This window comes from Homo sapiens, chromosome 6 (assembly GCF_000001405.40).
Source record: "Homo sapiens chromosome 6, GRCh38.p14 Primary Assembly".
Lineage (NCBI taxonomy): Eukaryota > Metazoa > Chordata > Mammalia > Primates > Hominidae > Homo > Homo sapiens.
The window spans coordinates 7,613,165-7,635,322 of NC_000006.12; the positions used below are offsets into that span (position 1 = coordinate 7,613,165).

Here is a 22,158-nt window from a genome sequence, read left to right on the forward strand (position 1 = left end):
GCAGTGGCTCATGGCTGTAATCCCAGCACTTTCAGAGGCCAAGGCTGGAGGATCACTTGAGCCCAGGAGTTCAAGACCAACTTGGGCAACATAGCAAGACACCATCTCTATGAAAAATTAGCCAGGTATGGTGGTACATGCCTGTAGTCCCAGCAGCTGGGGAGGCTGAGGCAGGAGGATCACTTGAGCCCAGAAGGTTGAGGCTGCAGTGAGCTGAGATTGCACCACTGCACTCCAGCCTGGGTGACAGAGTGAGACCCTGTCTCAAAAAAACAAAAAAACAAAAACAAAAACAAAAAGGACCTGAGAGTCATTCTCGATTTCCCCATTTCCATTACCACTGTAGATTACCTCCTAAGTATCTTGTACAGGTTGAGTATCCTTAATTTGAAAATCTGAAATCTGAAATACTCCAAAATCCAAAACTTTTTGAGTGCTGACATGCTCTTGAGCCTAAGAGGAAAATTCCACACCTGACCTCATGTGATAGGTCTCAGTCAAAACTTTGTTTCATGCACAATATTATTTGAAATATTATATGAAATTGCCTTCAGGCTATGCATATACGGTATGTATGAAACATAAGTGAATTTCATGTTAGATTTGGGTCTCATTCCCAAGATATCTCAATCTGCATATGCAGATATCCCCTAATTTGAAAAATATCCAAAATCTGAATTGGTCTCAAGCATTTCGGATACGGGAAACTCAACCTGTACTGAGCCCACCCCGTCTTTCCATACTACTATTTTAGTAAGAAAAAGCCAGCGGACTGTTCTCTCTTACTATACTCTCACCACATAACACTTTCGTGACCAGATGTGCGTGGATTTTCCCCACTCGTCACTTCTCTGGGGGACGCCAGCTGGGCATCCTACAATTTAACTCATTTCTGACATTGTCTACCTGGAGTTATCATCAGATCCCACAAGTTAAGGGCTCAGTCCCACAAGACTAATCCCCACTTCAGATACAGTCAGATGCAAGTCTGGGCCCCTGGTACTTCTGATGAACTGGCTATAAATTGGGGGTTCCCACAATCCCCTTTGCAGTTTGATCATTTGCTAGCTCAGCTCATAGAACTTGGGAGAACAAACACTTTACTTGCTATTGCCGATTTATTACAAAGAATATTTTAAAGGCTACAAATGAACAGCCAGATGAAGAAATACACAAGGCAAGGTTGAGAAGGGTCCCGCTCACAGGACCCTGCGTCCCCATGGAGTTGGAGTGCACCACCCCTTCTGAATGTAGATGTGTTCAGCAACCCAAAAGGAAACTCTGAACCCAGTCTTTTTAAGTTTTTATGGAAGCTTCAATAAGTGAGCATGGGCCAGGTGTGGTGGCTCACGCCTGTAATCCCAGCATTTTGGGAGGCTGAGGCGAGTGGATCATCTGAGGTCAGGAGTTCGAGACCAGCCTGGCCAACATGGTGAAATCCCGTCTCTACTAAAAATACAAAAATTAGTCAGGTGTGGTGGTGGGCGCCGGTAGTCCCAGCTCCTCGGGAGGCTGAAGCACGAGAATTGCTTGAATCCGGGAGGCGGAGGTTTCAGTGAACCAAGATTGCTGCTGCCCTCCAGGCTTGGCAACAGAGAGAGACTCTGTCTCAAAAAAAAAAAAAAGTAAGCATGATCGATGATATCATTGGCCATTGGTGATCAACTCAACCTTCAGCCCCCCTCCCCTCCTCAGAGATGGGGCACAGGGAGGGCTGAAGGTCCTAACCCTGTCATCATGCTGCCAGTTCCCCTGGTAACTAGCCCTCATGCTGAGGCCATCCAGGAGCCCCCAGCCACCCGTCAGTTCATTAGATACAAAAAGACACCTATCACTGGAGATTGCAAGGAGTTTGGGAGCTATGGCTCAGAAAATGGGACAAAGGCCAAATATATGTTTATTATAAATCACAGTGTCTTACTACCCTGCCTAGTTCCAGTGGCAAACATCTCTTGCCTACACTACTACAACCATCTCCTCATTGCTTTTCCTGCCTCTTTTTGCCCTCAGGCCAGCCCCACTTACAGTTGCCTAAGTAATTGTCTGAATTCCTCCCCCGAGCTCTTCCCTCTGTCTCCATTATGGCCACATATGCTTTCGGAGTCTGAACAGTTATCACCTCCTCCAGAAAGCCTTATGGACCTACTTGGAGAGGCTAGACAGGGAAGGACTGACTGAGAAGATGCTATTTAAGACCAGGCCGGGCCTGTAATCACAGCTACTTGGGAGGCTGAGGCAGGAGAATCACTTGAACTAAGGAGGCGGAGGTTGCAGTGAGCCGAGATTGCACCACTGCACTCCAGCCTGGGGAACAGAGCGAGACTCCATCTCAAAAGAAAAAAAAAAAATATGAGGCCGGAAGGATGAGGAGCACATTCTTCAGAATACCTGCCATGCCTTTAAAAACATATACTCAAAATTGACTTTAGCCTTTGCCATTTTCCCAAAGGTGCTCGCTAAGGGTTGTTTGGTTCATACACAGCTGGCTACTGCCACCTTATGGCAAAAAGTTGAACAGAAACTTCCATGCATAAAATTCTGCGAACTTACAAAAGCCTGACAATTTTCCAGTTCATCTCACCTGGTACAATGGATGAATTATTCTGCATTTGATCTAAGATTATCACCTCTTCTTATGTGCTGGAGACCCTCCCCTCTCACCTGCTCAAAGATGTTGTTCATAATATTTCCCTTTATCTTGCATCACCGACCGTCATCTCTCTATTGACTCATTCTCACCAGCACTCAAACCTGCTGATAGAATATCTGAAAACAAAGAAACAACAAAGACCTTCCCTTAGCCCTACCTTTCTCTAGTTACCACCCCACTTTTCTGCTCTCCTTGATGGCAAGCCTCTTCAAAAGAGTTTTCTATACTTGTCATCCTCACTTTCTGTTTTCTTATCTCTTGAGTCTATTCTCAATCAGATTTGCCCCAGCACTCCACTCAAACTCTCAGCTAAGGCCAGAAATGGTTTCCACACTGCCAAATCCAATGGGGGAGTCTCAGTCTTCGCCTTGACCCAACCATAGGTGGCGTTGCTATCTCCCGGTTCTCCCTCCACTTCACAGGCTGTTCCTTCTCACTATCTGTGGCTCATTCCTCCTCTTACCTCTGAGCTTTAAGCATGGTAATGCCCACAGTTCACTCTTTCCACCTCTTCTCTGTCTGCATTCTCTCCCTAAGTCCCCCACCTCCACTTTTTTTTTTTTTTTTTGAGACAGAGTCACTCTGTTGCCCAGGCTGGAGTGCAGTGGCCGATCTCAGCTCACTGCATCCTCTGCCTCCCAGGTTCAAGCGATTCTCCTGCCTCAGCCTCCCAAGTAGCTGGGACTACAGGCGCCCGCCGCCACACCCAGCTAATTTTTGTAATTTTAGTAGAGATGGGGTTTCACCACGTTGGCCAGGCTGGTCTCAAACTCCCGACCTCAGGTGATCCTCCCGCCTTGGCTTCCCAAAATGCTGGGATTACAGGCGTGAGCCACCATGCCCCGCCTAAGCCGTTTTTGTACTGACTAATCCAAACACCACCAGCTTTTCCCCCTGAATTCCAGACTGGACACCACCACTTGGATACCCAATCTGATTGGCATCTGAAAGCAAATACACTTAACAGCAATTTTTTTATTTCTTCTCCACTTCCCATCCTAAACAGCCTTTCTCTGGTTTTTCTCATCTCAGTAAATTGCAATTTTATTCTTCCAGTGGCTCATCTTTCACTCTTTTTCTCATATCCGCCTCTAATCCGTTGGCAAATTCTACTGATTTCAGTGTTTTCCCATTTCTTACTACCACGCTTGCCATCAGCCTAATCAAAGCCAGTATCATCCCAGACAATCAGAAAACTTTCTTCTGGGTCTGTATGCTTCCAGCTTGTCTCCCATCTTGTCTATTTCTCTGTGTAGGAGCCAGGAGCCTGCACGGTCCTATAATAATGAAGGTAAGACCATGTCACTTCTCTGCTCAGAACCCTCCAGCGGGTCCCCATCTCACACAGAGGAAAGTCCAGATTTCTCACCAAGACCTAAAGGCCCGCATGGCCTGTGCCCACCCCTCGCTCTAACCTCACCTCCCACCGTGGCCTCCCTCACCCATCCTGCATCCACTCCTTGCTCCCCAGGTGCATGAGGTTTGGTCCCATCTCATGTTCTCGCTCTTCCTCCTGTTGAAAATCTTGTTCTTCACGTCCTCTGGTTCTCTATTCCAGAGTCATCTTTTCAGAGCCGCCTTTCCAGACCCTCCTATTTAAAATTGTACTTTCTCCACCCTTTCCCCTTCCATTGTTTTCCCCTGTAGCACTTTGTAGCCTAACATAGCTTATGAGATTGTAAGTTTCACAAGCGCAGGGACTTGGTTTCTCTGCTCCCTGCTGGATGCCCAGTGCCTGGCAGATGGTGGACGCGCCACAGCTATTTGTCAGATGAATGAATGAGGACCAGTGTCCAAGGCGATCCAATTTCGAAAAAAAAGGAACATATTCTCTCTAACCTGTATACGTCTGGTTGACTAAAGCAACAGTATTTTAAATCAATTTTTAACTAATTGATGACTTATTTATATGGAGAGGAGCTGCCATTGCTCATTGTTTCTCTGTCGGGACGGAGACAGCAAGGCAGATTTTCTCTGTCCTGGGAAGAATCAGGTGAATACATTTGTTTCTGTGGACGTGCAGCAAGCTTTGTCCTAGAGGGGTGGGCCAGGGCCTCTTTGGAGACTTCAGGAGGCTGTCCCTTTCTTTGGTCCCTCCTTCAAGTGTAGGGAGATAATGAACTTCCTTTGAGGAAAGAAATGAAAACCCCAATCTTCTCCTTTTTGAGGCTGAGCATTATCCAGACTTCTACATTTGGAGATAGTGCCTGCTGAGGCGGGTCTACTGACAGAAGTAAGCTCCAAGGCCTCCCTCAGACAGCTAACCTGGTGACCTGGGTTCCATGGGATGCCCAGATTGTCATGGACATGAAAAAGGCTGTGGGCAGTGCTGGGTGGAGCACCTCTCTGCCTGGGGTACTTGCTTGTGAGTAGGATCCTGGGGATCCAGGCTTATTCTGAGTGTGGGACTTCCTGGGTGGAAATATTCTGGAAAAAGTGGAATTTTGCTGCCTTAAAGAATCACTAAGTCTTGGAACCCGCAGTAGTGCCCATGATCTCTTTGAATTAGACAAGAAGAGTGCTTGATTGTAGCTCTTGCAATCCTCACTGCCTGGCAGGGCAGCTCATTCCGGAGCAGCCTCGTTCTGGGGTAGCTGTGGTTTTCTTCAGCCCCGAGGGCATTTGCTGAGTTTTGCTTTATGTGACTGGATGGGACTGGCCTTGGAGACACTAATAAGCACGTGAGGGTTTTTGGACAATGCGAAGAGTTGGTGCCAAGCCACAAGTGGGAGATGTTGAACTTCCTGCGAATCTGGTGTGTTGTAGCCTGAGTCGGTTTCAATATGAAAAATAAGAGTGACAGTGCCTTCCTTGTATGCTAATCTGGCGAAGTGGCTCATGCTGGCCATGTAACAACCTGGCAGCCTCCTACAGAAGCAAGTGGGGTGTGGCATTCCTGCTGTCTGCATCTTCTGTTTGTCACCTCGCCCACTCTGTGGCCATATCCCTTGTCCTGATGGCTTCCATCACAGCAGCCGGGGGCAACTCAGCCTGGACTCTTCCAAGCCTTTCTCTCTGTTCCTAGCCGTGTGCGGCTAGAGAGCATCACAAGACCCCAACCTGGTGCCACGAAGGGGTAAGGACCCCAGTCACTCCCCTCCACACCTTTAACTCCCCTCTTCCTGTCTTCTTTGCTTTCCTCAAACTGACAGCCTGGCCACTTCCCACTTCACTTAGAAAATAGAAACTGGCAGACACAAACTTCTTTCCCACCCTGCCACAAAGGCTGTTCCTTTCTGGGCATCTGGGATGATGAGAGCTGATGGGTACTGAGTGCCTCCAAGGAGCTAGGGCTGCCCTACAGGCCTCACACGCTAACTCATTTAATTGTTTGTTCTCTCCTACATAAAAACCCCCAACCCCAAACCAACCAACAAAACCCAACGCACAGAGAGATTAAGCAACTTGACTGAGCTCACACAGCACTGGGATGAGACCTCAGGCAGCCTGACTCCAGAGCACCCAGCACCTGCTACGGAGCCTAGAACACAGAAGGCACCCAGGAAAAACGGGTTGAATGATTCCATGCAGGAATCTAGGAGGCTGAACTTCAGCTTTAGAGTAGAATGCCCGTCAGCTCAATATCAAACACAAAGGGAAAATAATGATGATTTTGGGGAGGAAGAAGTGGTGAGACACAGTAAATTTATACTTAAATTTTATTTTCCAATGCAAAAAATATCTTCTAAGTGAAGAACATGTGACAAATTTGCACAACTATAAAGAAGGAAAATAAAGCCACTAGGAAACACAGTACACTTTGTTCCATTTTGAAATCCAAATATCTCTGGGAAAAATACTTCTACAGGCCACTCTCCTTTACATCTTTGTCACAATGAATTTCAGATCCCCACTGACATTACTGTGATAAGTGTTTAAGATTCAGAGGTGCCAAAATGGAGATCAAAGTCCTAATTGTGGCAGGATGCGCGGTGGCTCACACTTGTAATCCCAGCACTTTGGGAGGCTGAGGTGTGTGGATCACTTGAGCCCAGGAGTTCGAGTTCAGCCTGGGAAACATGGCAAAACCTCCTCTCTACAAAAAAACAAACAAACAAGCAAGAAAATAAAAAAAACCAACAAAAACAAAGTCTTGATTGTATTAATGACAGCAAGGCAGGTGCTCACTCAGTCTCAGGTTCTTGTGAGACCAACTTGGAGACTGAATGTGGACTTCTCATGTCCTCTCGCAGTTTGAAACTGTGTGGCTCTGCCCTGGGCTCACTCACTGTATTTGTCAGGGTTTTTCCAGAGAAATAGAGTCAATAGGGCGTGTGGAGAGAGAAAGAGAAAGAGAGAGAGAGAGAGAGAGAGATTTATTTCAAGGGATCAGCTCATGCAATTGTGGAGGCTGACAATTTCGAAGTCCACAGGGTGGACCCGCAGGCTGGAGACCCAGGGAAGAGTTGATGTTACAGGTGAAGTCCAAAGACCGTTTTCTGGCAGAATTCCCTCTTGCTCAGGAGACACGAGTCTTTTTGTTCTGTCCAGGTCTTCCACTGATTGGATGTGGCCCACTCACATCCAGGAAGGAGATCTCCTTTACCTGAAGTCTGCTGATTTAAATGTTCATCTTGGCTTCAGGAACTGTGGGTTATGGTGCAGACATGGGAAAGTTCAAGAACAACACTACAAACAACCAGTCCTGAAAATAGTACAGAAACACATCAAGAAATCCTGATCACAAAGATTGATTTCTTAAAGGGATGGACCCCAAGTTCCCGAAGAACATGCACTTCGCCTAGAAGCACAACGAGAAGGGCCTGGAGAAGATGCAGGACAACAACATGCGAGCTGAGGCTATCAAGGCCCCCCAAAGCCTATGGAAGTCCAGCCCAGGGTTCCAAAGAGCGCCAGCCGCAAGCTCGATTTGCCTACACTGCCCACCCCAAGGCTGGGAAGCATGCTCGGGCCCACATTGCCACGGGTCTCAGGCTCTGCTGGCCAAAGGCCAAGGCCAAGGATCAAACCAAGGCCCAGGCCTCGGCTTCAGCTGCAGCTCCAGCTTCAGTTCTAGCTCCTGCTCAGGCTTCCAAAGGTGCCCAGGCCCCCATGAAGGCTCTGGAGTAGAGAGCTTCATCTGCCAATGTGAGGACAGAAGGACTGGTGTGACCCCCGGGCTGCTGTCTGCATGGGGCTGGTGTCCTCCTGTGCTATTTGTGTGAATAAACCTAAGGCAGGAAAAAAATGCTGATCTCGTCCCCAAACACCCTCACAGAAATATAAAGAATAAGTTTTGACTACACATCTGGGTACTATGGCCTAGCAAAATTGACACATAAAGTTAGCTGTCACACTTAGCTAGCTGCAGGTGTCAGAGCTGGGAAAAGATCCCCTTCCATGATCAGAGGCCCTGGCTGGCAGGGAGGGGGCTACCACATGGAGGCTAGAGGTGGGGAGCTCATTGTCCTTCAATTCGGGTGGTCTAAAGGCAATAGGCTATGCTGGACAAGGGCAGGTCCTACTTGGACATCTTAAATAGAATTGGGGGCAGATTCCATTTTTGGGGGGCCCTCTTTTTAAGAAAATAATACAAAATTAGGGTCTGGGTGCAATGGCTCACACCTGTAATCCCAGCATTTTTGGAGGCTAAGGCGGAAGGATTGCTTGAGGCCAGGAATTCAAGACCAGACTGGGCAACATAGGGAGACCCTGTCTCTACAAAAAAAAAACATTTTTTTTAATTAGCCAGATGTGGTGGTGTGTGCCTGTAATCTCAACTGCTTGGGAGGCTGAAGTGGGAGGATTGCTTGAGCCTGGGAGGTTGAGGCTTAAGTGAACCATTATGGTACCACTGTACTCCAGCCTGGATAACGGAAGCTGGAGTGACAGAAACTAGGTGATAGAGAGTGGGAAAATAATTAGGTATCAGACCTTGAAAGGAACTCCAAGCATAAATTTCATTACCCCATAGTAAATCATCTATGAGAAAGAACGCAGATAGAAAGGAAAGACGAGAGTAGCCTACTTCTCCAGCATTCCTGGAGCAGGTAGAGAATAGGTTATCAATAATTGCATTTGAATAGGTGACTGAGGGAATGAAACTTTAAGGGTGAAAGTTGGGTGAAGTTTTTGGCCATTGGCCTTGCCGTGCTTCTGAACCATGACTCACCACCTCCATGGATGGACCAGTGTTTGAGCTCGTCCAAGTTCATATGTCTTTTCTCTGAATCAGGGGTTGGCAAGCTTTTTCTGTGAAAGATCAAAGGGTAAATATCTTAAGCTTTGTGGGCCATACAGTTTCTGTGGCAATGACTTGACTCCACTTTTGTAGCACAAAGCAGCCAGAGACAGTTGGTAAATGAAGGTGTGCGGCTGGGCACCATGGCATTTCATTTACCGAAAGAGGTGATGAGCAAGATTTGGCCCCCAGGCTGCCATTTGATGAGCTCTGCTCTAGGTCACTGCTTTTCAGTATTTAAAAACAGGATATTTTCTTCAAATCACCTTCAAGAGCATCTAACACATAAGCCTGATGAAAACAGTTGCTGCAGTTTAAGTTTGGGTGGGTGGGGGTCAGCCTAGAGCCTGGTCCTTCTCATGGTGACACCAAAGGAAACTCCATGGAGCTCCCTGGGTTCTGAGGAACCTAGAGTGAAGTCCACTGCCCCACTCCACATGGCCTGTCCCCAATACGCTTCCAAATGATCCTTCCTACATTTGTTGTGATGTTACTTATTATCCCCACAACTAGACAGTAAGACCCTTGAGAGCCTGGGCCAAGGCCTTGCCAGCTTTTTCCCTTCTCTATGGTGCCAAGCATGAGCCGAGACTCAGGCACAGCTGTTTAACGTGGAATAACCTGGGAACTTGGTCTAACCTGAGTTAGTCCCTGACTCAAGGTAATCAGTCGCTGAAGTACAGATGCTAGAGCTGGAAGAAGGCAGGGGTTCACTTTCTTCTCCGTGTGGGCCCCATCCCCCAATTTGTCAAGTGAGAGAATGAAGCCCATTCATTCATAATGTCATTCACATCTAAATTTGTGCTCTGACCAAGATTTTACTTTCTCACAGATATTAAGTTTGGGTTTATCCCCAACTAGGTTTATCCCCAGTGTTTTCGGAAATAAGTTCTCAAGGTTGTTATGGAATTATTAGAAGAAAAACAGTGGGTGGCAGTGGTGGTATGTGTGTGAGTGGGTTGGGGTGGGGTGGGGAAGTCGGTCAATGTGTGCAGTTCCTGCAATAGGAAAAGAAGCATGTGCTTCAGGTGAAGGGAATGCCGCTGACAAGGGTCCTTACTTATGCCTAGAATGATGCTGGGCAGACATCCTCAATATTGGGAGAATTAAATGGAATGGTAGCCTCCAGGAGCCCTCACTATCCTGCTACTCATTTTCTGAGTTCCTGAAGTTATAGAGTTAGTTACACAAAAACAAAAATAGACACATCATGAAAATATTTAATGACCACAAATAAAATCTTCCCCTGCTCGGCCAGGCATGGTGGCTCATGCCTGTAATCCCAACACTTTGGGAGGCAGAGGTGGGTGGATCACTTGAGGCCAGGAGTTCGAGACCAGCCTGGCCAACATGATGAAACCCCATTTCTACTAAAAATACAAAAATTAGCCGGGCATCGTGGCATACGCCTGTAATCCCAGCTACACAGGAGGCAGAGGCAGAGAATCACTTGAACCTGGGAAGTGAAGGCTGCAGTGAGTCGAGATTGTGCCACTGCGCTCCAGCCTGGGAGACAAAATGAGACTCCATCACAAAAAAAAAAAAAAAAAAAAAAATTCTTCCCCTGCTCAAACAACGTGTGTCCCAGATGCCAAATATCTCTGATGACAGTCTGGTGTTGTAAACACTCAATGCCATGATGCCAGAACACAGGGACTGCATAATGACAAGGTCCATCTAGCAAAACAGGTAGGGGTTTTTCATGAAGTTGATGAAAATGATGATGGATCACTGTTCAACCCCCCTGCAAAGCTGTCATGATGCAAATGAGGCTCCGGAAGAGGGAGAGACAAGTTGAGAAATGAAAAAGAGAAAGCTGACCAAAAAATCAGGTTGGATTCTTGAAAAGGGGATGATTTGAACATCAAAAGATGCAGAGAGACCCTCGGGAGAACTCATAAAGCAAATTTTTTTTGTTGCTGTTAAAATGACCGTGCTGTAAAAAGTAAAGGCAATGATCTTACACAATCATAAAATTTTACCAGAAATATTACCTTCTTTTGAAAAAGTCTGATTTACTTCTTGTTCATTTTGAAAATTAGTATATGGTTGAAATTATAACAAAAATTTTGTTAGATATAGGATTAAAACACATTTAATTTCATGTCCCCCATAAAATTTCAACCAAAACTCTTTTTTGATTATTTCAACCCAAAACTCTTTTTAAAAATTATTTGTTATGAAAACATTTTACCCCTTTTAATGGAGCTCACTCTAAGCCATCTTTCCTTGGTACCGAGTATACTTGGATAATGAGGACTGTTTTCCATAATGTTGGTGTAGAAAAAAACCTTCTTATAAGCAAGACACAAAATGCCAGAGGAAAAGACTGTGAGAATTGATTAGTAAAATGTTAATACTTTTGCATGATGAACTAATAGGCTACAACACCCTGGGTGAAAATATGTATAACAGATATAATCACAGAGCGGTTAATAGCCGTGATACAGAGAAAGCGATACGAGTCAAGAAAAAGAAAAGTAACCTGGAGGCAAAATGGGCCACAACCATAGTTGGTGGATTCACAGAAGAGGAAAAAGGGAGAAGGACTGGAGCGCGGTTAACAAACATGTGAAAAGATACCCACTCCTACCGGTAATCAGGTAAGGGCAAAATAAAGTATCAAACACCACTTCACCCATATGTGTGTGTCCTTTGACTTCACTACTAGAATTAGGAATGTATCCCCTAGAAATACTCACACAGAACTATTTACAAGTTGTTAGCATATTATAATAGCAAAAATAGGAAATATTGTATTACTATTGTGAAAGTTGTCATAATCAAAATGAAGTCACTAATGTTAAGATAACTTCAACAAATAGAGCTGAGGAAGGCCATGAAGAGAGGGTTTTCATGGTTGTATACCTGATCACAATAAAGACGGAAAAAACCACAAAGCTTCTTGGATAAAGTTCTCTTGCACAAAGGCCATCACAACCCTATACAAAAAATACTTCCTCAAGGACATCTGCCCAGCAACTGCCTGTCCAACCACAGACTGGTATCATCCTTGCTGTTGATCTTTGTGGCCAAGGATAATTACTGAAAACAATTATGTAATCTTCCTCATTTTTTCCCTTTAAAAATCTTTGTCTTCCTTTACCTCCCTGAATACACACATGTTTTACTATGGCACACATATTCCTATTGCAGTGCTTTACTCCCAAATAAACATCTTTTCTTTTCAGGAGCTGCTGTTTGTTATTTTGGTTGACACTATTCATAGCTGATACTTGCATAAGGCCTTCTATGGGTGGGCACTTTTCTAAGCACTTTACATAAATGAGCTCAATCCTCCATGACAACCCTGTGAGAAAGTACTTTTATTACCCTTAGTATGCAGACAAAGGACCCAAAGCACAGAACAGAGCGGTTTATTCAGGGTCACTCAAACAGCAGGAGGCAGAATTGTGATGTGCCCCAGGCAGTCTGGCATGCGTCTGTGCTCTATACTTCTTACTATACAACTTACACCCAGGGTAGGATTGGCTAAATAACCCATAGAAAATCCTTACAAGGAACAACAACACATATTGTAAAAGGAAACAAATGGGTGGCAGTGTAATCCTATTTTTGAAATATGCAAACTGTGTATGTGTGGTTTATGGGGGGTGTGTGTGTGGGGGGGGTTGTGTGTGTGTAAATGCATGGACGACAGCAAATGGAATAAAGACACAAACTCAATAGTGGTTGCCTTTGCTAAGGAGCATGTGATGGGGGTAGATGCTGGGGGAGGCGGGGTGCTGGGATAGAAAGACTTCTAATTTCTGCTGCATAAATTTTTGGATTGTTGAATTTTTAGGAGAATGTGTATTACTATAGATAGATTTCTTTTCTCTTCTTTTCTTTTCTTTTCTTTTTTTCCTTCCCTTCCCTTCCCTTCCTTTTCTTCTTTTCTTTTCTTTTGGGATGGTCTCACTCTGCCACGCAGGCTGGAGTACAGTGGCATGATCTTGGCTCACTGCAACCTCCGCTTCCCAGGCTCAAGTGATTATCCCACCTCAGCCTCCCGAGTAGCTGGGACTACAGGCATGTGCCACCACACATGGCTAATTTTTTATATTTTTTAGTGGAGATGGGGTTTTGCCATATTGCCCAGGTGGGTCTTGAACCTGAGCTCAGGTGATCCACCTGCCTTGGCCTTCCGAAGTGTTGGGATTACAGGCATGAACCACTGTGCCCAGCCTGTATTACTACATAATTTTTAAGATGTGCAAATGAAACACGAAGGGGTTATAGGCATGCCTGACCTGGTCTACGAATGGTGTCATTTGAGGCTCAATGATTGTTTATATGTTTTACCCAGGGATGGATAGCAGAGTGCAGGGAGGAAAACCTGGGTGGCTGGGGAAGTGGCCCAGCTGGGCGAGCGGTGGGCTGGCAGCTCTCTTTCTCCATCAGTACTCTTTGGTTGGATTAAGCCTCAGTCATAGGGATGAGAGAGGAAAGAGGGATGTTTCTCATCTGGGAGGTGTATTAACACTAGTGCCCAAGCAGGCAATGACATGCTTAGTATAGCTATGCCATTGTGGATTGGCAAACCCAAGGTCATTTACAATCCCCCTTGCTTTCCTCAACTATACAACTCTACAACTATAGAGGTGTTTTTTTGTTTTATTTTGTTTTTTTTTTCCCAAGAAGTAGTTTCACTCTTTGTTGCCCAGGTTGCAGTGCAATGGTGCAATCTTGGCTCACTGCAACCTCCGCCTCCTGGGTTCAAGCGATTCACCTGCCTCGGCCTCCCAAGTAGCTTGGACTACAGGCATGTGCCACCACACCTGGCTGGCTAATTTTTGTATTTTTAGTAGAGATGGGGTTTTGCCGTGTTGGCCAGACTGGTCTCAAACTCCTGACCTCAGGTGATCCACCCCACTCAGCCTCCGAAAATGCTGGGATTATAGGCGTGAGGCACCGTGCCCAGCCTAGAGATTTGAAAACAAAAATATCCACTTTCCCAGACTCCCTTGCAACTAAATGGTGGCTGTATGACCCAGTCCTGGTCCATGAGATGTACATTGATGTCACTGCTTGGACTTCCAAGAACGCTTCTTCCAGGTGCAGACTAGACTGGAATGGTCCATCAGATGTTTGCTCTTTCCCCCTTCCTCCTGACCAGACCACAGATGTGATGCCTAGAAATGTAGTTGCCATCCTGTGGCCATGAGGATGAAAATCACACACTCTTTTGGTGTCGTAGGGCTGCTGTAACAAATTGCCACAAACCTAGTGGCCTGAAATGGTAGAAGTTTATGGGCCGCACGCAGTGGCTCACGCCTGTAATCCCAGCACTTTGGGAGGCCGAGGCAGGTGGATCACGAGGTCAGGAGATCAAGATCATCCTGACTAACACGGTGAAACCTTGTCTCTACTAAAAATACAAAAAATTAGCCAGGCGTGGTGGTGGGCGCCTGTAGTCCCAGCTACTCGGGAGGCTGGAAGTCTGAAATCAAGGCATCGCAGGGGCATGCTGTCTCTGGAGACTCTAGAGGAGGATGCTTTCTTGCAGTGTTCTCCCCAGCTCCTGGTGCTGCCAGCAATCCTTGGCTTGGAGATACATCACTCATTGCTCCAGTCTGTGCCTCCTTTGTCACGTGGCTTTCTCCCTGTGTCTGTATCTCTCTTGTTCTTATAAAAGGCATTAGTCATATAGATTTAGAATCTACCTGACTCCAGTATGACCTCATCTTAACTTAATTACATCTGCAAAGACCTTATTTCCAAATAAGATCATATTTACAGGTACCAGGGGTTAGAACTCAAACATAATCTTTTTGGAGGACGCAATTCAACTCACAAAACACACTAAGGATGGAGAACGGGAAGACAGAAGCCCCTGATAGCCTTGTGCAGCCACTCCCAACCTTGGGCAGCCTACTTGTGACTTCTTGTTGTGTGATTCAAATAAATTCCCTATTTACTGAAGCCACCGTTTAGGTTTTCTTTTGCTCGCAGTTGAACACATTTCTAACTGCCACACTTTATCCATCCATCCATCCATCCATCCATCCATCCATCCATCCATTCCATCCATCCATCCAGTCAATCAGTTTTTAGGAAGTACCTATATTGTGCTAGTGATGTCTTACTCAGAGTTGAGGCTGGCACAGAGAAAGTACTCAATATTTATTAGTTAAGCACATGAATGGAAGGCAAATTCCTTTCATGGAACATAGAGTTTGGACATACACACAAAAAATAGACAATTGAGGCCGGGCACGGTGCCTCACGCCTGTAATCTCAGCACTTTGGAAGGCCGAGGCAGGCAGTTCACGAGGTCAGGAGATCGAGAGCATCCTGGCTAACACGGTGAAACCCCATCTCTACTAAAAATACAAAAAATTAGCCGGGGGTGGTGGCAGGTGCCTGTAGTCCCAGCTACTCAGGAGGCTGAGGCAGGAGAATGGCATGAGCCCGGGTGGCGGAGCTTGCAGTGAGCCAAGATCGCACCACTGCACTCCAGCCTGGGCAACACAGCGAGACTCCGTCTCAAAAAAAATAAATAAATAAAAAATAAGACAATTGAAATGTATGCAGGGCCTTGTATAATACCTAACTCTGACTTGGGGCTTAAGGAGTTTTCCTGGTGACTAAGAATGGTGGTAGGAGAAAGTACAGAAGCCAAAGAGAGATGGAGAAACAGAAAAACTGACTGTGACTGACTCATGGAAGGCAGGGAAGTGGGGAGTGAAGAGAGGGAAAGGGGAGGTAACGGAGGGAGAGAGAGAGAGTGTGTGGGTGTGTGGCTATTACAAGGTCAGTCTGGAAAGATGAGGCTGGAGACAGAAGCATGAACACTTGGGATCATTCTTTAATATCTAAGCCCTTGAATGCAGGACTACTATATGTATTTTAAGGGCAGGGGGTCTGTGAGTGGGATGTCTTTTAATCTGTAAATTACCTGACTAATATGACAATATGTACAACGTATCACAGAGAAGAAAGAACCTTACGGTGTGAGCATCGCTCTTTCGTATGGTTGGATGCTGCCCTGGTAAATACGTGATTCTTGGGTCAATAGAGTCTGCAAAGCTCAAGTTGTGTATTTTATGTAGCATGTGTTAATACTTAAGGGCTGTTTCCAGTAGGTCTTGCTCTAGCACATCATCCTTATGCAGCTGTGTTTTTTGGATGAGGCCATGGAGAGCTGGTTGACGCCAAATGCTCACTCTGGATACTCGGATTCTCGCCTCGCTTCTGGCTTGACAAAGGGACAGGCGTAGACAGCTATCCTTCCGTGGGCTTCCTTTTCTGCATCTCTAAAATTAACTTAAAAATTTCAGAAAAAAGACATAAAACAAACAGTGCCTTGTGCGTAGTAAGTGCTAAAAATTGATTAAAAATGTACGTAATTTAAATTTAACATCATCTATAATCCCATATAATCCCTTATCATTGTGAGAGGGTAAGCAGAAAACAGGTTGCTTTTGTGTCCCATGGCTCCTTGTGGTGAGCTGGTCCCTGCCCTGGCCCTGGATTAATACTCAGGCAGGATTGTGGCTTTTCTGGTCATCTTCACTGGTAGTGACTCAAGGATGTAGCATTGGTGTGCTCCAGACTTGGCAGATGTTTAAAGCTGAGTATTTCTCTTGAGGGTTCTTTTGTGGGTTCTTGGGAGAACCCCCATTAACGTGGATCCCTCACCTTCATTCTCTTGACAAAGTTGTAGCCCCTTCACAGCCCCTGGGCATCTGCTACTCCCCTCTGGACTCTTGTTTTGGGGTCTTCTTGCCCCTGTAGAGCAGCCTTTTTGGGGCAGGATCTAAGACAGCACCTCCCAGCCTTATCTCACCCATGGCCCCTCCTCTGCCCATCACACATCCTTTGCTATGTCAAGTTCAGGGCTCTCAGGCCAAGCCAGTGTGGCAACCTCTCCTTGCCTCTGCCCACAGCTCAGGAACTAACCCTGCTCGCTTTAGACAATGCAAGTCAGACACCAGTCCTTTGGGTCCCCCAAACTACAAGGGACACACTAAATGCTTTCTAAGTGATCCCACTACTCCATTCTTTAGGCTTGAGGCAAGAGGTAAGCATCCCCATCCTACCCCAGTGAGGGAGGGGTAGACAGACAGCACGTGGAGAACTCTCTATACATCCCCCTTTGTCAGCACCCCCTGCCCTTCCACTCTCCATGTGGTTGAGGAACCCAAGAGTCATGGAACAGTTTTGAGAAATTTATAATGTACTGTTGTGTCCTTCCAAAATTCATATGTTGAAATTCTAATTTCCAAGGTGATGGCATGAGGAGGTGGGGCCTTTGGAAGATGATTAGGTCATGAGGGTGGACCCCTCATGAATGGGATTAGTGCCCGTATAAAAGAGGCCCCAGGGAGCTCTCTTGCTGTTTCCACTGCTGTGAAGACAAGAGGAGAAAATGACCATCCACAACTGGAAGTGGTCTTGGGGCCATCTGGGCAAGGATCCCAGGGTTCTGGGTACCCAGAGCATAGAAGATCATGGCCTCTGAGGGGGCATGTTTCCTTAGTCTTATGGACTCATCACCCTGTGAGATGGAGCATGTCTAGAAAGCCAGAGAAGGGCCCTTAAATCATGGGGCTCAGGGCAGTGGATCCTCTTACCTGAGTCTAATAGCCATTCTTGACTGTCAAGTAGGGTTCCTAAATGAAGCTATATTTCAAGAGAAGATACGTTGGCTATTGAAAAAAAAAAAAAAACCCACACACAAAACAACAGACAAGAAAGAAGGCTGGAAGAATTGGCAGGATGAATAGCTCAGTTTAGTGGAACCAGGTGCAATTGTTCCAAGTATGGGGTGAGGCTGTGCTGGACCAACCCAGCAGCTCTTCTCTAGCAGCCCACCCTGGACCTGTGAGTGCTGGGAAATAGAGGATTTTCACAGAAAGAAAGCAATCATATCCAACCTAATTGCTCAACAGCTCTGGCGTGGGGAACCCCTCTGAAAGAGCTGGCCATGCAGATCAGGAAGCACCTTCCATAGGTCCGAGGAGGAGCGCTGTGGAGGCTGGAGGTATAGCAGGCTGGTGGGTATAAGGAGGGGAGGGGCCTAAGTTAATTGGGCCGGGGGAGGCAACAATGAGAGGGCAGAGAAATAACAGTCAGTGGGGCAGAAGGTCAGAGAGAAGCTGGTGGACCCCGAAACAGGGCCTGGAGAGCTGTTGGCAGCAACCCTCACTGTAGGTGAACTGCTTGGGACACTAGAAAGAAAGGCTCAGAACAACCTGGTGAGAATCCCTGTGGGGAGTTTGGGGACCACTGAGAGGATTCTGGGGAAAGACAGGCTTGCTTGTAATTCAAGGTGATTATTCAAGCGCAGACTCTGAGCTTCTAGATGTGGAGCCAATCGAACTTGATTAATGTGAGCACCTAGGCCAGTGAAGACTGGGGTTTTCTAGTTTCCTATGCTTTTTCTTGGGTAGGAGGGGAAGGTAACCTAAAGAATGGACTTACGTTTTATAAAGAGGAGTCTGGGTGCCTTATATACTCATAATATATTCTTATTGATGGTTTGTGGAATAATGGGGCAGATACACAGCAGAAAATGCTTCCTATATCCCGGAAGCCCTTGAAATGGATGTTCCTCAGTTGTATCTCAATCCTCACTTGTAACCTTTCTCCAGTTAAGTCTCAGAAAGACAGATGTTTCCAATTTAGCCTTGAAAAGTACACAGTAATAAAATAATCTTCAAATTAGCATGTCGGCAGGGCCTAGTGTTTACAATCCATTTTGAAAACAAGTCCCCGCCTTTGCCTGTTTGCATTTCCATCGGGAAGATGGGATTGCCAAGCAAGCATTACTGTGTTATCTTTTCAGGTTTTATGTTCACGTTCTGGTTCAGACATAACATTCTTCCTTTGAAGCTCTCTGCAGAAGCTGACCAAGTATTTATACTTTTTAAAACATAAAGTTCCTTCTTCTTTTTTGGTGATCAAAAAATCTGCCTTTCTGAAAAGACCTCATTACATCTTATTTGAAAAATTTTGAAATGCTTTAGAAGATGGTAGAGACCTGTTTGATTGGTTAAGCCTTTAAACATGTGAGAGATTCTCAGAGAGGTTCTTGATCTGTTTAACTTGAAGGAGGTTTGGATGAGTGGTGGAGAATGACAGAAACTGCGGAAGGATAGGAACCTGGCCGTCGTTAAAGGTGTCCCATGGAGGTACATAAAAGAACGTGACTTCTAACACATGGCCTCTGCTTCAGATGTTTGGTGGAAAATCCTTTCTAGGCTGAGGCCAACCACCCCAAGCTTCTCGGGAGCAGGATCTGAGTGCAGCTTGCAGTCCACTCACGAGAACTTTGAATTCTCGTTCTCTTGTGCCTCCATCTTCATCCGGGCTCCAGGTCTGTGCTCATCCTCAGTGGGAGGGCCTTGTGATGGATGCCATTTCTTTGGCACTTCTCCTGTCAATAGGTAGTGTCAACATTCCCCTCCTTGAGTCTGGGCTGGTCCATGACAGCTCCGCAACAGAGTGTGATGGAAGTAGTGCTATGGCAGTTCCAGGCCTTGGCTTTGAGAGGATGACAGCTTCCATTCTGGTCTCTTGGAGTCCTGGGCTGCCACGACTCCAAGAAGTCCACGTACTGTTTTAAAAAGACCACATGGCAAGGCCCTGAGACCACACAGAGAGAAAGGGGGCGTCCAGCTCAGCTCAGTCTTCCAAATGTTTCCATCGAAGCACCAAGCCTGTTAGTGAAACATTCTTAGGCTCTCCAGACCCAGACCAGCCTCCAGCTGAACACCATTTAGTGACCCCAGTCAATATAGCATGGAGAGCAGAAGAATCCGCCAACCGAGTCCTGCCCAAGTTCCTGACCCACGCAATTGTGAGCAGTAATTGTTGTTTCAAGCCATTGCATTTTGGATCATTTATTTATGCAGCAACAAATAACTGGAGCAGGCATGGAGGCCACCCAGGAAGTATGCAGAGAATTGAGACATCGTTATGTTGCATGTTCATGGAACCCATTTGTGGGGATTGCACTGTAGGAAAACAAACCCAGGAAGAGGGATTCCTCTCAACATTTCCCCTCTCTCCAGGGGAGAGTCACAGACACCAAAATTGAAAGATACTAGCATCCAGGTTACACGTGTCTGCCTAAGTCTGTGCTTTTTGCTAAGTCTTAGCCTCTCTACAACTAGACTTCAAGTGGATGGGCTCTAGCATTCCATCATGCTGTGCAGGTCTGAATCTTGCTGGTACATACAGCCTGTGCTCAAGCCAAAATCTGCTGTCAAAACAGTATCTCTTCCAAGAACAAAGGTCTATTAAAAAAAAAAAAAGAAAAGAAAAAGAAAACAGTATCTTACTTGTACCCAAGTCAGCATCTCTGATCTGTCAAATGCTCCTTCTCCATTACCATGAATCAAATGACTCCACCATTACCATGGTGACAGAGGAGTGTAGGTGACATTGGTCTCCCATCAAATGTAAACCTGATCTATATCGCAATTGTCTTTGGCTGTGAGTATTCACCATAAGAATCCTCATAACAAGTACGGCTATTGTTTGTGGGAAAGAAAAGAACAGTGGAATGCAGCTTTGTAGATAAGAATACAAAATATTTTAACGAAAATGTACCAGCTGTTCGACCCTCAGTATATATCACACAGACAATAAAATAAACACAATCAGCATTATTTACTCAGTGTGAATGACTCCTGGCTCTGGCACCCTGGCTGTTTAGTTGAGTTAAGCTGGCTTTAGCTGGGTTGTGTCTGCCAGGTTGCCTTCTGAAGGTAATGGCTTATAAAACTGCATGAAAAAATCTTAAGGAGTAGCCTTATTTTTAAGGCAATAATCCTCACTAAGGAAAACTGTGTTAAATAGATTAGTGTAATGAACTCAACTTAAGGATTTTATCGATTCTTTTTCCATTGTTAGGAAAGGTAGCGTGACACTGAATTTTCTCTCCATTATTATTATTGTGTTTTTGACAGAGTCTTGCTCTGTTGCCCAGGCTGGAGTGCAGCGGCGTGATCTAGGCTCACTGCAACCTCTGCCCCCTGGGTTCAAGGGATTCTCATGCCTCAGCCTCCCAAGTAGCTGGGATTACAGGTGTGCACCACCACATCCGTCTAATTTTTTGAATTTTTAATAGAGACAGCATTGCACCATGTTGGCCAGGCTGCTCAAACTCCTGACCTCAAGTGATCTGCCCACCTCAGCATCCCAAAGTGCTGGGATTACAGGTGTGAGCCACCTTGCCAGGCTTCCATTAATTGTTTCACGTTTATTTTTTGTGACTTTTTCTGTACTGAATAGTAACATTTTGATGTGAAGGATTTCTGGATAGAAAGCAAAACAAACAAAAACTCAACTGGTTTAATTTCCCCAGAAGTGGTCTCAGATCACCTTTGTTACGCTTTTCTGTTCAGTAGGAATGTTCTGGCAGTGTGTTGAGTTGGCATATTTGGCTTCTGTTACAGTAGTGTATATATTCTAGGAGACTCATGAGTTCTCTGTGAGATTTTTATATTTTCTGTTTTAATTTATATCACATAAGAAAATTAATATTAGCGTATCTGAATGTTCTGACTACATAATCACCAAATACTGCCACATGGTTTCAACGCCGGTACTAATTTGAATTTAATATATTAATTTGTTTTAATTTTATAGTTGTATAAAACAATAGTTATGCTTTAGTCCTGTCTATATGTTTGTGTATTTGTTATTTTATTAAGCTCTTTTCTTTGTGCCAGGCGCAGATCTAAAAACTCTACGTGTATTATCATTGCCTTGCTAATATTATTTCTTTCTTTTTTTTTTTTTTTTTTTTTTGAGACAGAGTCTCACTCTGTCACCCAGGCTGGAGTGCAGTGGCTCCATCTCGGCTCACTGCAAGCTCCGCCTCCTGGGTTCACGCCATTCTCCTGCCTCAGCCTCCCGAGTAGCTGGGACTACAGGCACCCACCACCGCGCCCGGCTAATTTTTTGTATTTTCAGTAGAGATGGGATTTCACCACGTTAGCCAGGATGGTCTCGATCTCCTGACCTCATGATCCACCCACCTTGGCCTCCCATTGCTAGTATTATTTCTATATTGTATATGAGAAAACAGTGACACAGAGTGGTAAAATTTAAGTAACAGAAAACTCAACTCAAAATTTCTTAAATGAGAATAGAGGTTTGTCTACTCACATCATTGAAAAGTCCAGAGGTAGAGTGAGTTTCTGGTGTGGTTTGGCTGGGGCTCTGCCTCAGTTTCTTAGCAATGACTCTGGCCTGATTCTTTCTATGGGTCAGCTTTATTTTTTGGTAGGTGTTTCCTGGTTGGGTAACAAAATGGCTGCCTTTGTCTGTCAGGACCACATAGTTCCTCACCTACATCTAGGGAGAAAGA

General features: G+C 45.5%; 1 pseudogene, besides 2 other annotated features; it reads left to right on the plus strand.

The window, feature by feature from the left end:
- Nucleotides 2,832-3,126: a silencer, noted in NCBI's record as "tiled region #13737; K562 Repressive DNase matched - State 25:Art". NCBI's record gives its function as "represses a minimal TATA promoter and a strong SV40 promoter by Sharpr-MPRA in K562 cells {active_cell/tissue: K562}" and the evidence as "EXISTENCE:reporter gene assay evidence [ECO:0000049][PMID:27701403]".
- RPL29P1 (ribosomal protein L29 pseudogene 1) lies at nt 7,259-7,721 on the plus strand (annotated as a pseudogene).
- Nucleotides 18,258-18,458: a silencer, noted in NCBI's record as "peak5647 fragment used in MPRA reporter construct". NCBI's record gives its function as "represses an SCP1 promoter by STARR-seq MPRAs in K562 erythroleukemia cells {active_cell/tissue: K562}" and the evidence as "EXISTENCE:reporter gene assay evidence [ECO:0000049][PMID:32103011]".